Here is a 14,254-nt window from a genome sequence, read left to right on the forward strand (position 1 = left end):
CTTTGCAATATTGAACTTTCCAATCCGTGAACTTATCTGCCCATGTATTATGTTTGTTTTTGGTAGATTACAAAATTATATGATCACTCCAAAAATTACCTTGCCCTTTATAGTAAAACCTTCCATTGTAAACTTCTGGCAATCACTGATCTGTGTTCCTCTAGCATTGCTTTTTTTTCAGAATTTTATACAAATGGAATCGTTCAGGCTGTAGCCTTTGAGTCTGGCTACTTTCATGTACTGTATCAACAGTTATTCCTTTTTATTGCCAAATAGTAATCCATTGTATAAATACTACATGGTTTGCTTATTGGTTTGTCATTGGAGGAATATGGACTATTTTCACTTTTTGGTAAATTATAAGTGGATTGGAATTCACAAAGTGCTTTTTGTCTGAGCATAGGTTTTCATTTCACTTGTGCAAATGACTAAGGGTGTAGGATTGCTGAGTCACATGGTCCGTGTACGTTTGACTTTATCAGAACCTGCCAAATTGTCTTCCAAAGTGCTGTGCCACTTCTGTTTCTTTAATAAATACAGGGGTATTCAAGCTGTCTGTTTCTTCTTGAGTTTTGGTAGTCTGTCTTTCAAGGAATTGATCTATTTCACCTAATTTGTAGAATTTAGAAGCATATAGTTGTTTGTTTTGTTTTTGTAGTATCCATTCTAGCCTTCTAGTGTCTACAGGATTTGTAATAATCCTTTCATTTCTGGTATTGGTAATTTGTGTTTTCTCTTCTTCCTTTGTCAGTCTGCTAGAGGCTTCCTCATTTGATTGCTTTCCACCTTCCACCACCCCTGCAAAGAACCAACTTTGGATTTTGTTGAATTTTTTTCCTTTACTGTTTTTGTTTAAATATTACTGATTTAGTCTGTTTTTCTTATGCCTGATTTGAGTTTATTTGGTTCTTTTTTTACTTAAAGTAAATGCTTACATTATTGATTTGATGCTTCATTTCTCATAATTTAGTGCTATAAATTGCCCTGTAAGCACATATTTTGATAAGATGATGTCATATTTATTAAGTTCAAACTGTTTTCCAATTTTTCTTAAGACACTCTCTTTGACCTATGGGCCATTTAGAAGTACGCCATTTAACTTCTCATATTTGGGGATGTTCTAGAAATGTTCTAGATTCCTAGTTTAATTCTGTCGTCAGAGAAAATAATTCACTGAATTTTAATTGTTTAACTTCAGGGTTTGTTTTATGACCCAGAATATGATCTCTCACCACCGCCATCCAGATAATTCTTCAGGTTTTGACGTTTCCCAACCTGTCTGCTGGTTACTTTTCAGAGTACTTGGATCATTGCTATTTATATTTTGTCCAGAGTTTCAAATTGTGATCAGTGGAAATGACAGGCCGTAGCATACATACGCCATCCTGGCCAGCATCACAGGTGGTCAGTACATCTTTCTGTTGTTGTTTTGAGACAGGGTCTCACTCTGTTGCCCAGGCTGGAGCACAGTGGCATGATCAGGGATCACTGCATTCTCAACCGGCTAGGCTCAAGTGATCCTCCCACCTCAGCCTCCCGAATAGCTGGGTCTATAGGTGTGCTGCCATGCCCAGCTAATTTTTGTATTTTTTATAAAGACAGGATTTTGCCTTGTTGCCCAGGCTGGTCTCAAACTCCTGAGCTCAGGCCATCCTCTCACTCGGGCCTCCCAAAGTACTAGGATTATAGGCATGACCACCACACCTGGCCAGTACATCTTAAAAATGATTTCTGATCCACGTTGAATAATGATGGCCTATAAATATTTTTTCTTGCACTTGCCTTGTTGGGTTTTGATATCAAGGTTATTTTTATTTTAACCTTATAAAATGAACTGGGGAGTCTTCTTTTTTTATTCTCTCAGTTTGTGTTAGTGGCAGAGTTTTTTTTGTTTGGTTGGTTGGTTTCTCTTTTTCTTGTATGTTTCATGGAACTTTTTGGTGAAGGCACTTGGGCCTGGAAATTTCTTTATGGCAAGTTTTTTCATTACTGATTCAATATATTTAATCTATGTAAGATTTTTTTCTACTTTTTGAGTCAATTTTGATTTTTTTTTTCCAAAAATTCATATCTCACCAAGTATGGTGGCTTATGCCTGTAATCCCAGCACTTTGGGAGGCTCAGGTGGGAGGACCACTTGACTACAGTAGTTCAAGACCAGCCTGGGCAATATAGTGAGACTCCATCTCTGCAAAAAAAAAATAAAAATTAGCTTGGTGTGGTGGTGGGTGCCTGTAGTGTGAGCTACTTGGGAGGCTGAGGTGGGAGGATCATTTGAGCCAGGAAGGTCGAGACTGCAGTGAGCTGTGATTGTGCCACTGCACTCCAGCCTGGGCGACAGAATGAGACCTTGTCTCAAAAAAAAAAAATTTTTTTCATCTATGCTTTAAAGTCTGTTGGCATAAAGGTATTCATAATTTTACATTATGAATTTGTTTATTTGAGACAGGGTCTCACTCTGTTGCCCAGGCTGGAGTACAGTGGTACAATCATGGCTCACTGCAGCCTCCGCCTCCCAGGCTCAAGCCACCCTCTTGCTTCAGCCTCCCAAGTAGGTGGGACCACAGGCACGTGCCACCATGCCCAGCTAATTTTTGTATTTTTGGTAGAGACAGGGTTTTGCCATGTTGCCCAGGCTGGTCTCAAACTCCTGAACTTAAGCATTCCTCCCACTTCGGTCTCCCAAAGTGCTGGGATTACAGGTGCGAGCCATCGTTCTTGGCCTGCAAGTTATGACTTCCTTTCAGAGTCTTTCTATCTGTAGTACAGTCCTCCTGTGCAAGATTGTTTTTTGACTGCTTTTTCTTGACAAATCTTGCTAAAGGTCTGTGAATTTTATAATGTATTTTTAAAGAACCAGGTTTTAGCAGGGCATGGTGGCTCATACCTGTAATCCCAGCACTTTGAGAGGCAAAGGTGGGAGGATCGCTTGAGCCTGTAAGGGGGAGGCTGTAGTAAGCTGTGATTGAGCGACTACACTCCAGCCTGGGCAACAGAATGAGACCCTATCTGAAAACCAAAAAACCCACAAGTTTTAGCTTGGCTGATTCTATTGTGTGTTTCTTTTGTATTTCATTTGTTTGTTATGTTTTTCCTTTTTCTTTCTTTGAATTTAACTTGTTCTTTGTCTGATTTATTGACTGATGCTTAGTTTTTTTTTTTTTTGAGATGTAGTCTCGCTCGCTCTTTCACCAGGCTGGAGTGCAGTGGCACAATCTCGGCTCACTGCAACCTCCAGCTCCTGGGTTCAAGCAATTCTCCTGCCTCAGCCTCCCGAGTAGCTGGGACTACAGGTGTGCACCACCACGCCCACCTAATTTTTGTATTTTTAGTAGAGATGGGGTTTTACCACGTTGGGCAGGATGGTCTCGATCTCTTCACCTCGTGATCCACCTGCCTCGGCCTCCCAAAGTGCTGGGATTACAGGCTTGAGCCACTGTGCCCAGTCTGTTGATGTTTTTTCCAAGTTCCTTTTCTAATGTTCTCATTTAAGACTATAAATTTCCCCAGCCTGGACAACATGGTGAAACTTTATCTCTACCAAACACACAAAAAATTAGCCTGGCGTGGTGGTGTGAGCCTGTGGTCCCAGCTACTCAGGAGGCTGAGGTGGGAGGCTCACTTGAGCACAGGAGGTGGAGGGTAGTAAGCCAAGATTTTGCTACTGCACTCCAGCCTGGGTGACAGAGTGAGACCCCATCTCAAAAAAAAAAAAAAAAAAAAAAGACTATCATTTTCCCCTTATGAATGGATTTAATTATATCCTACAGTTTTTAATATGTAGAACTGATGATGAATTTGCCTTATTTTATCTTCAAGCTATGGGCTATTTAAAAGTATACTTTTAGAAAGTTTCTAAAATTGTTACCAGAAATTGTGATCTGTCCACTTTCTTAGAAATTTGTTACTTAACACTCGTCTATATGGTTAATTTTTGAACTTGTCCACATTTTCTTGAAGGGAAGTCTGTTTCTGTAGTTAAATCTCATGTTCTATATGTTTGCATTGAGTATTTTTTTCATAGTTTTAAATCTTCATCCTCCCTAATTATTTTTATACTTTATTTACTGAGAGATATATTAAATATCCTACTAGAAGCATGGATTTGTCTGTCTCCTCATCTGTCAACTTTTGCTTTTTGAGGCTGTACTTGGGTGCATATGATTCAAAAAATATACATCTTTTTTTAATTTGAACTTTTATCAAAATGAAATGTTTTCCTTCATTTATGTATGCTTTCAACATTACGTATGATATAGCTATAGTAACTTTGGTTAGACTTTGCACTGTGTATCTTTCACGTGTATGTGTGTATTTTTTTCCCACTGTGCTGCCCAGGCTATAGTGCAGGGGCTGTTCACAGGTGTTCACAGGTGGCTCCCTGCTGCCTTGAACTCCTGGGCTCAAATGATCCTCCTACCTCAGTCTTTAGAGTGATGTGTGCCACCACCGCCAAATAATTGTTTTTATTTCTTTAGAGATAGAGTTTGGCTATATTGCCAAGGCTGGTCTTGAGCTCTTGGTCTCAGGTGATCCTCTCACCTCTGCTTCCTGAGTCACTGGGATTACAGACATGTGCCGCCAAGCCTGGCTCCTCTGATACGTATTTTAATACCTTTTAAAATCATTCAATATCTTTGTATTTTAAATATGACTTAAAAATAGCATGGAATGAGATTTTAACAATTTATCCATCTTTAACTGGATTACTTAGTCCATTTGCATGTATTTGTATTCTGACATACTTGGATTCTGTATAGATGGTGAGTGGTGTGTATGTACATGCATATGTGTTTGTGTCATTTTGTCACTTTCTATTTATCCTACTTATGTTTCTTTTTTTCCTTTCTTGCCTTCTTTTCAATTGGTGGGATATTTTTTCTTCTCTAGTCATTTTAAGTTCTAGTCTTTGTTTATATTCTTTTAGTAACTGTCATGCTAATTTAAATGTGCATATTTAAGTTATGAAAGTCTAAAATTTATCCTCCTCCTGGGTGATAGGATAACTTAAGAATACTTTCATCGCATTAAACTCCTCTTGAGTTATGCTACTACAGTATATTTTCAACTTTTTATTTTGACATAATTGCAGATTCACAGGCGGTTTTAAGAAATAATAGAAATCCCATATAGTCTTCACTCAGTTTCTCCCAATGGTAACATCTTGCGTAACTACCTTGTTCATATTTCACCAGTTTTATGTGCACTTTTAGTTTTTTTTGTGTATTTAGTTCTATGAAATTTTATCGTGTACATAGATTAGATACCTAACCACCATCACCATCGTCAAGATACAGAACAGTTCCATCAGAAGGATGGATCCCTTGTGCTACCCATCTTATAGTCACAAACACGTTCCTCACTCCCTGACCCCTGGCAACCACTAATCTGTTTTTCATCTCTGTAACTTTATTTCAAGAACACATGTAAATGAAACCATACACTGTCTGATATTTTGAGATTGAGTTTTTTTATTCAGCATAATTATCTTGTGATCCGTCAAAGTTGTTTTGATATATTTTATCATTTTTCTTTTTATATTTCATGGGACATTACTTCTATTGTTTTATACGTTTCACGTTTGTTTAGTTTTATCCATATATTCACCTGTCTTTTTCCTGCTCTTCATTTCTTCTTATATCCCAGATCTTCCACTTGAGATCATTTTCTTCCTGCCTGAAATCTTTTTGGTATCTGTTTAGTAATGGTTTCCTTGGGCGAGCTCCCTCAATTTCTGCACATTTTAAGCTCTATTATGTTAGTCTCATACTTAATTTTTTTTATTGTGGTATAAGAGGCATACAGGTAAGGAGATCATGAACGTACAACTCAAAATTTTCACCTAGTTAACACCTAAGAAATGGATATGACCAGCAACCCAGAAGCCTCTCTTCTGTTTCCTTCTAGTTGCTGCTCTTACCTCCTCTCGAGGCAGGGTCATCTGCCTGCCTTAGCCTCCCAGAGTGCTGGGATTACAGGCATGAGCCACCGAGCCTGGCCTAAAATGACCATCTTGTCTTTTGAGACAGAGTCTTGCTCTGTCACCCCAGCTGGAGTGCAGTGGCATGATCATGGCTCACTGCAGCCTCAATCTCCCTGGCTCAAGCGATCCTCCCACCTTAGCCTCCTGAGTAGCTGGGACAGGAGGCACACATGCCACACCCAGCTCAGTCTACTGGGCTCAAGCAAAAGGTATCTCCTATTCTGACTTTTTACACTATAGATTAGTTTTCCTATTATTCGCTTTATAAATGCGATCTTTTCTTTTGGCTTCTTTTGTCAGCTTTAGACTTGTGAGTTCTATCCATGGTGTTGCACATGGCCGTGGTTTGTTTATTGTTGTGTGCATTCAGTTTTACTAATATTGCACAATATGTTTATCTGTTCTGCTGGTGGCTGACATTCAGGTTCTTCCAAGCTTGGGTCCATTATGAGTAATGCCATTATAAACTTTTTTTTTTTTGAGATGGAGTCTCACTCTTGTCGCCCAAGCTGGAGTGCAATGGCGCAATCTCAGCTCACTGCAACCTCCACCTCCTGGGTTCAAGCAATTCTCCCTGCCTCGGCCTCCCAAGAAGCTGGGATTACAGGTGCCCACCACCACGCTTGGCTAATTTTTTTTAGTAGAGACGGGGTTTTGCCACGTTGGCCGGGCTGGTCTCGAACTCCTGACCTCAGGTGATCTGCCTGCCTCAGCCTCCCAAAGTGCTGGAATTACAGGCATGAGCCACTGTGCCCGGCCCTAAACTTTCTTGTACTTACCTTTTGGTGCACACGTGTGTACTTTAATTTGATCTGTATCTGGGAGTGCAAGTGCTTTATAGAGTGTACGTACAGTTTTAGGAGATACTGCTAAAAATTTTGCAGTGGCTATATCAGTTTACACTCTGCCAGCTGTGGATGAATGTTCCAGTTGTTTCCCATCCTTCTGTTGTAGGAAAGGAGTCCTGATCTAGACTCCAAGAGAGGGTTATTGGATCTGGTGCAAGAAAGAATTCAGGGCGAGTCCATAGAGTAAAGTGATAGCAGGTTTATTAAGAAAGTAGAAGAATAAAAGAATGGCTACTCTATAGACAGAGCAGCCCGAGGGCTGCTGGTTACCCATTCTTATGGTTATTTCTAGATAATATGCTAAACAAGGGGTGGATTATTCGTGCCTTTTTTTTTTTTTTTTTTAAAGACCATGTAGGGTAAATTTCTGATATTGCCATGGCATTTGTAAACTGTCGTGGTGCTAGTGGGAGTGTAGCAGTGGGAGGAAGACCAGCGGTCACTCTTGTCACCATCTTGGTTTTAGTAGGTTTTAGGCAGCTTCCTTACTGCAGACTGTTTTATCAGCAAGGTCATTATGACCTGTACCTTGTGCTGACCTCCTATTTCATCCTATAACTAAGAATTTCATCCTATAACTCTCTGGGAATGCAGCCCAGTAGGTCTCAGCCTTTTTTCCCAGCTCCTATTCAAGATGGAGTTGCTCTTTTTCAAACCCCTCTGACACTTCCATGTACTTACTATCGTGTCAGCTTTTAAAAACTTTTAGTCTTTCTGATAGATGTATAGTAGTATCTCATGGTGTTTGTAATGTGAATTTCTGTAATGCCTAAGTAGGGAAGGGCATCTTCTCATGTTTTAATACTGGTCATTTAGTTGTTCTCTTTGGGAAAGGGCCTGCTCAGGTCTCTTGCCTAGCTTTCTATTGGGTTACCTGTCTTCTTGTTTAAAATTACTGATTTGTAGGAATTCTTATATTATGGACCAAAGTTATTTGGTCATATTCTACCCAGTATTCTCTGAATGATTATTTGAATAAAGATGATTAATTTTGCTATAGTGCAATTTATCAGTATTTTCCTTTATGGATAACGTTTTTGGTTGCAGGGGAGTTTTGAACTTTCTCTCTTTTCCCTGAAGGTTCGATAATTTGAGTCTCTGTAATAAACTTGACAGTAGCCAGATTAGCAGGAACAGTGGCATACAGCCTGATGATGTGCGTATGCACAGGAGTCCACGAAATATGAGACTCACAGAAGAGCCAGGTGGTTGAAGCTTAGCTAGCAATTTGAGCTGCAGAAAGAAACAGGAGCTTAAAGGCCCCTGGATGGTAGTGGCGACAAGCTATGGGAGAGCGAGGGGAGGAACTGCACTGGGAACAAAGGCTCTTATGCAGAAAAAAGTCCCTCAGGTAGCAGCCTTCAGAATAGGTGAAAAGTCTGTCTGGTGTGGTATCCTGAGTGTGGAGACCTTTTAGTTTCCTCTGTTTCCATAGGAGTCTGGTTAATGTAGATCCCAGGAAGGAGGGCAGGGTTTATGACAGACAACAGCATTCCTCCTGGGGGAACTTCTCTTAATCAAATAAGTGAAACTTCGGAGAAAGCACTGCCTGTATTTGCTGCTTCCCAGGTGCTCTCAGGTTGAAGTCTACAGCTGCATATTTTGGGGTATTTTTTTGAGCCCAACATGATCTTTATGAAAAATTTTACCTAATTCTATGTTATCTTCTAGAAGCCTTTTCACATGTAGCCTGTCTATCTGGAAGGGATTTTTATGTATGGTATTGTTAACAGTGGAGCGTGTGCAGGTTCTTGGCATCTTGAACAGAGAATTGGACAAAACGCACAAAGCAAGGAAGGAATGAAGGGATTTATAGAAAATGAAACTACACGCCACAGTGTGGAAGCAGCTCTGAGCATAGGGGCTCAAAGTTCCTGTTACAGAGTTTTTATGAGTTTACCCTCTACTTGAGGTACACCCTATGTAAATGAAGAGGATGAAGTAAAGTTACAAGGCAATTTACGGCATACACCTTATGGAGAGGATATTTCCTGTTATAGCTGAAGTGTGAATTGGCCTGATGTTGCCTGCCTCCAGACCCTATTTTCCTGCCTCAGTATCAAGTAGGAAACTTTTTCACATGGCTATCCAGTTGACTTTGGCACCGTTTATTAAAATGACCATCTTTTCTTTTTTTTGTGACGAGGTCTTGCTCTGTCACCCAGGCTGGAGTGCAGTGGCATGATCCTGGCTGACTGCAACCTCCGCCTCCTGGGTTCAAGCGATTCTCCTGCCTCAGCCTCCTGAATAGCTGGGATTACATGTGCCTGGCTAATTTTTGTATATTTAATAGAGATGGGGTTTCACCATGTTGGCCTTGAACTCCTGATCTCAGGTGACCCGCCTGCCTAGGCCTCTCAAAGTGCTGAGATTACAGGTGTGAGTCACCACGCCTGGCCTAAAATGACCATCTTTTCTTTTGAGCAGAGTCTTGCTGTGTCACCCCAGCTGGAGTGCAGTGGCATGATCATGGCTCACTGCAGCCTCAACCTCCCTGGCTCAAGCAATCCTCCCACCTCAGCCTCCTGAGCAGCTGGGACAGCAGGCACAACATGCCACACTCAACTTTTTTTTTTTTTTTTTATTAGACATGAAGTATTGCTATGTTTCCCAGGCTGGTCTTGATCTACTGGGCTCAGGCAATCCTCCGCTTTGACCTCCAGAAGTTCTGGGATTACAAGTAGGAGCCACCGCACCTGGCCCATCTTCATTGTTCTTCAGTGTCACCTTTATTATAAATCAAGTACTATATACATGGGCATGCTTTTGGCCTCTGTAAGTTCCTTTTTTAAAATTTTCCACAAGTTATTAGGGGACAGGTGGTATTTGGTTACATGAGTAAGTTCTTTAGTGGTGATTTGTGAGATTTTGGTGCACCCACCACCCGAGCAGTATACCCTGCACCTATTTGTAATATTTTATTCCTTGCCCCCTCCACACCCTTACCCCCAAGTCCCCAAAGTCCATTGTATCATTCTTATGCCTTTGCATCTTCATAGCTTAGCTCCACATATCAGTGAGAACATACAATCTTTGGTTTTCCATTCCTGAGTTACTTCACTTGGAATAATAGTCTCCAATCTCATCCAGGTCACTGCAAGTGCTGTTAATTTACTCCTTTTTATGACCGAGTAATATGCCGTAGCATAAATATACCACAGTTTATTTGTCTACTTGTTGATTGATGGGCATTTGGGTTGGTTCCACGATTTTGGAATTGTGAATTGTGCCGCTATAAACATGCATGTGCAAGTATCTTTTTTGAATAATGACTTCTTTTCCTCTGGGTAGATACCCAGTAGTGGAATTGCTGGATCAAATGGTAGTTCTACTTTTAGTTCTTTAAGGAATCTCCACACTGTTTTCCATAGTGGTTGTACTAGTTTACATTTCCATCAGCAGTGTAGAAGTGTTTCCTGTTCACTGCACCCACACCAGCATCTACTGTTTTTTGATTTTTTGATTATGGCCTTTCTTGCAGGAGTAAGGTGGTATCACATTGTGGTTTTGATCTGCATTTCCCTGATCGTTAGTGATGTTGGGCATTTTTTCATATATTAGTTGGCCATTTGTATGTCTTCTTTTGAGAATTGTCTATTCATGTCCATAGCCCACTTTTTGATGGGATTGTTTTTTTCTTACTGATTTGAGTTTGTTGTAGATTCTGGATATTAGTCCTTCGTCAGATGTATAGATTGTGAAGATTTTCTCCCACTCTGTGGGTTGTCTATTTACTCTGCTGACTGTTCTTTTGCCATGCAAAAGCTCATTAGTTTAATTAAGTCCCAACTATTTATCTTTGTTTTTATTGCATTTGCTTTTGGGTTCTTGGTCATGAAATCCTTGCTAAGCCAATGTCTAGAAGGGTTTTCCAATGTTATCTTCTAGAATTTTTACAGTTTCAGATCTTAGGTTTAAGTCCTCAATCCATCTTGAGTTGATTTTTGTATAAGGTAAGAGATAAGGATCCAGCTTCATTCTCCCACATGTGCATAACCAATTAGCCCAGCACCATTTGTTGAAAAGGGTGTCTTTTCCCCACTTTGTTTGGTTTGTTGAAGATCAGTTGGTTATAAGTGTTTGGGCTTATTTTTGGGTTCTCTATTCTGTTTCATTGTTTCTATGTACCTGTTTTTATACCAGTACCATGCTGTTTTGGTGACTATGGCCTTATAGTATAGTTTGAAATCAGGTAGTGTGATGCCTCCAGATTTGTTCTTTTTGCTTAGTCTTGCTTTGGCTCTGCGGGCTCTTTTTTGGTTCCATATGAATTTTAGAATTTGTTTTTTCTAATTCTGTGAAGAATAATGGTGGTATTTTGATGGGCATTGTGTTGAATTTGTAGATTGCTTTTGGCAGTATCATCATTTTCACAATATTGATCGTACCCATCCATGAGCATGGGATGTGTTTCCATTTGTTTGTGTCATCTATGATTTATTTCAGAGGTGTTTTGTAGTTTTACTTGTAGAGGTATTTTGCCCCCTTGGTTAGGTATATTCCTAAGTATTTTAGTTTTTTTGCAGCTGTTGTAAAAGGGGGTGAGTTCTTGATTTGATTCTCCCCTTGGTCGCTGTTGGTGTATAGAAGAGCTACTGATTTGGGTACATTGATTTGTGTACATTAATCTTGCATCGGAAAAACTTGCTGAATTCTTTTATCAGTTGTAGGAGCTTTCTGGAGGAGCCTTTAGGGTTTTCAAGGTAAACAGTCATATCATCAGCAAACGATAACAGTTTGACTTCCTCTTTACCGATTTGGATGCCCTTTCTTTTGTCTGATTTCTCTGGGTAGGACTTACAGTACTATGTTGAGGAGTGGTGAAATTGGGCATCCTTGTCTTGTTCCCCTTCTCAGAGGGAGTGCTTTCAACTTTTCCCCATTTAGTATTATGTTGGCTGTGGGTTTGTCATTGATGGCTTTTATTACATGAGGTATGTCCCTTGTGTACCATGTTTGCTGAGAGTTTTAATCATAAAGTGATGCTGGATTTTGTCGAATGCATTTTCTGCATCTATTGAGATCATGTCATTTTTTTTTAAATTTTGTTTGTGTGGTGTACCACATTTATTGACTTGCATATGTTAAACCATCCCTGCATCCCTGGTATGAAATCCATTTGATCATGGTGGATTATCTTTTTGATATGTTGTTGGATTTGGTTAGCTAGTATTTTGTTAAGGATTTTAGCATCTATGTTCATCAAGGATATCGGTCTGTAGTTTTCTTTTCTGGTTATGTCGTTTCCTGATTTTGGTATTAGGGTGACTTGGTACCAATTCTTCTTTGAATATCTGGTAGAATTCTGCTGTGAATCTGTCTGGTCCTAGACTTTTTTTTTGTTGGTAATTTTTAAATTACCATTTCAATCTTGCTGCTCGTTATTGGTCTGTTCAGGGTATCTAATTCTTCCTGATTTAAGCTAGGAGGGTTGTATTTTTTCCAGGGATTTATCCGTCTTTTCTAGGTTTTCTACTTATGTGTGTAAAGGTGTTCACAGTAGCCTTGAATGAGCTTTTGTATTTGTGTTGTCAGTTGTAATATCTCCTGTTTCATTTCTTAATGAGGTTGTCTGGATTTTCTCTCTTCTCTTCTTGGTTAATCTTGCTAATGGTCTATCAATTTTATTTATCTTTTCAAAGAACCAGCTTTTTGTTTCATTTATGTTTCGTCTTTTTTGTTTGTTTCAATTTCATTTAGTTCTGCTCGGATCTTGGTAATTTCCTTTCTTCTGCTGGGTTTGGGTTTGGTTTGTTCTTGGCTCTCTAGTTCCTTGAGGTGTGACCTTAGAGTGTCAGTTTGCACTTTTTCAATCTTTTTGATTTAGGTGTTCAGGGCTATGAACTTTCCTCTTAGCACCACCTTTGCTGTATCCAAGAGGCTTTGATAGGTTGTGTCATTATTGTCATTCAGTTTGAAGAATTTTAAAATTTCCATCTTGTTTTCGTTTTTGACCCAGTGCTCATTCAGGAACAGGTTACTTAACTTCCGTGTATTTGCATTGTTTTGAAGGTTCGTTTTGGAGTTGATTTTCGATTTTATTCCACTGTTATCTGAGAGAGTGCTTGATATAATTTCAATCTTCTTAAATTTATTGAGGCTTGTTTTATTGGCATCTGCAAGTTTCATTGGTTGATTTTTCTATATTTTGTTTGGTTTTGGAAATAAGTATAATAAAACACAGTCCTGCTCTTAAAATGCATACAATCAGTTAAATAGCTAATTTCAACATAATGTGATGTGGAAGAAAAACATATTAAAATTGTGCTGTATTTAAAGTTTCATAATAGAAATGTTAATTTCTTTACTAAAGTGACCCTTCTACTGCAGCAGGAAGACTGTTTTTATAATTGAAAGATAGTTTGCGTTTTATTACTTGGCTTTTCTTTATAGTTTACTGTACATGAATATATCCCTAAACACGTATTATTATAATTCTGCCTGTTTTGGGGCAGCATCTACCTTATAGCACTGGCTGAGGGCTGAGCTGAGCGTGGCTCCAAGGGAATCCAGCCTTGGGCAGTAGGTGGCAATGTTGGGCAGGCAGATGAAGGCTCCGGGATGTCTGGCTAGTTATGGGGACTGAGCTGTGGGCAGAATTCCAGTCCTGCGTGAATTAAGGCTGGTCCCCAAACCAAGTCGAAGAGACAGAACAGACTGGAGGAGGAGGTGGGAGAGGTCCATGATGAGAGCCGCTGCCATTTATTTAGCATTGTGTACTGAGCTCTGTGCAGGGCACCTAACAGCCTAGCATGCAGCAACTCAGTTCCCACCACCTGTACCCCTACCGTTTTTTTTTTTTTTTTTTTTTTTTTTTTTTTTTTTTTGCAAATCACGAAGAGAAAGACAGTTGGAATGTGGCAGAACCAGGATTCTATCCCAGTCTGGCTGTCCTCACAACTCTGAATCATCAGGTGACAACAGTGTCTTGCTAGAATTGCCAGTTGCTGCTGCTCGGGAGCAGCTGGTGCCTGCCCTGCAGGATGGTGCCATGGGCCTGGCTGAGCTGTGGCTCCCAGCACGATGCTGTTTCTTCCCCAGGTCTGCTCAGTGCTGCAGTTCAGCAGGGTGGAGGCTATGCTGTGCATGCCCCAATCTCTTCTGCCTGGGGGTGTGGGCAGAGCTGCTGGCCTTCATCTCTCTGCTTGTTTCTCCAGACATCTCCTCCTACTCTGATAGAGACACCCTGTCTTGGGACATCCCCCCATTCATTCCTTCACGGAAAGTCAGCCTATTTTTGTATTTTACTTTGTGGTCATCTTCATAATATTTCTTCGTGGCATCGACAGCAGTTTGTAACTGGGGATTATCTGATTGTTATCTCTCTGCCCTGTGGAACTATAAGCTTCCTGAAGGCAGGGGCCGCATCTGAGCTCACTGTTGTATCCTCATAGCTTTACATGGCACCTGGCATCCAGAAGCC

The 14,254-nt window shown here is 40.1% G+C and overlaps 1 protein-coding gene across 3 annotated transcripts in view, besides 1 other annotated feature; it reads left to right on the plus strand.

Moving 5' to 3' along the window:
* Window positions 1-14,254, plus strand: part of FANK1 (fibronectin type III and ankyrin repeat domains 1) — a 113,029-nt gene that overhangs the window by 24,540 nt on the left and 74,235 nt on the right. The window lies entirely within an intron of this gene.
* Window positions 13,348-13,848: an enhancer, noted in NCBI's record as "H3K4me1 hESC enhancer chr10:127623020-127623520 (GRCh37/hg19 assembly coordinates)". NCBI's record gives its function as "activates a minimal SCP1, AML or CMV promoter by ChIP-STARR-seq in primed H9 embryonic stem cells {active_cell/tissue: H9 hESC(primed)}" and the evidence as "EXISTENCE:reporter gene assay evidence [ECO:0000049][PMID:30033119]".

Source organism: Homo sapiens, chromosome 10, assembly GCF_000001405.40.
Source record: "Homo sapiens chromosome 10, GRCh38.p14 Primary Assembly".
Lineage (NCBI taxonomy): Eukaryota > Metazoa > Chordata > Mammalia > Primates > Hominidae > Homo > Homo sapiens.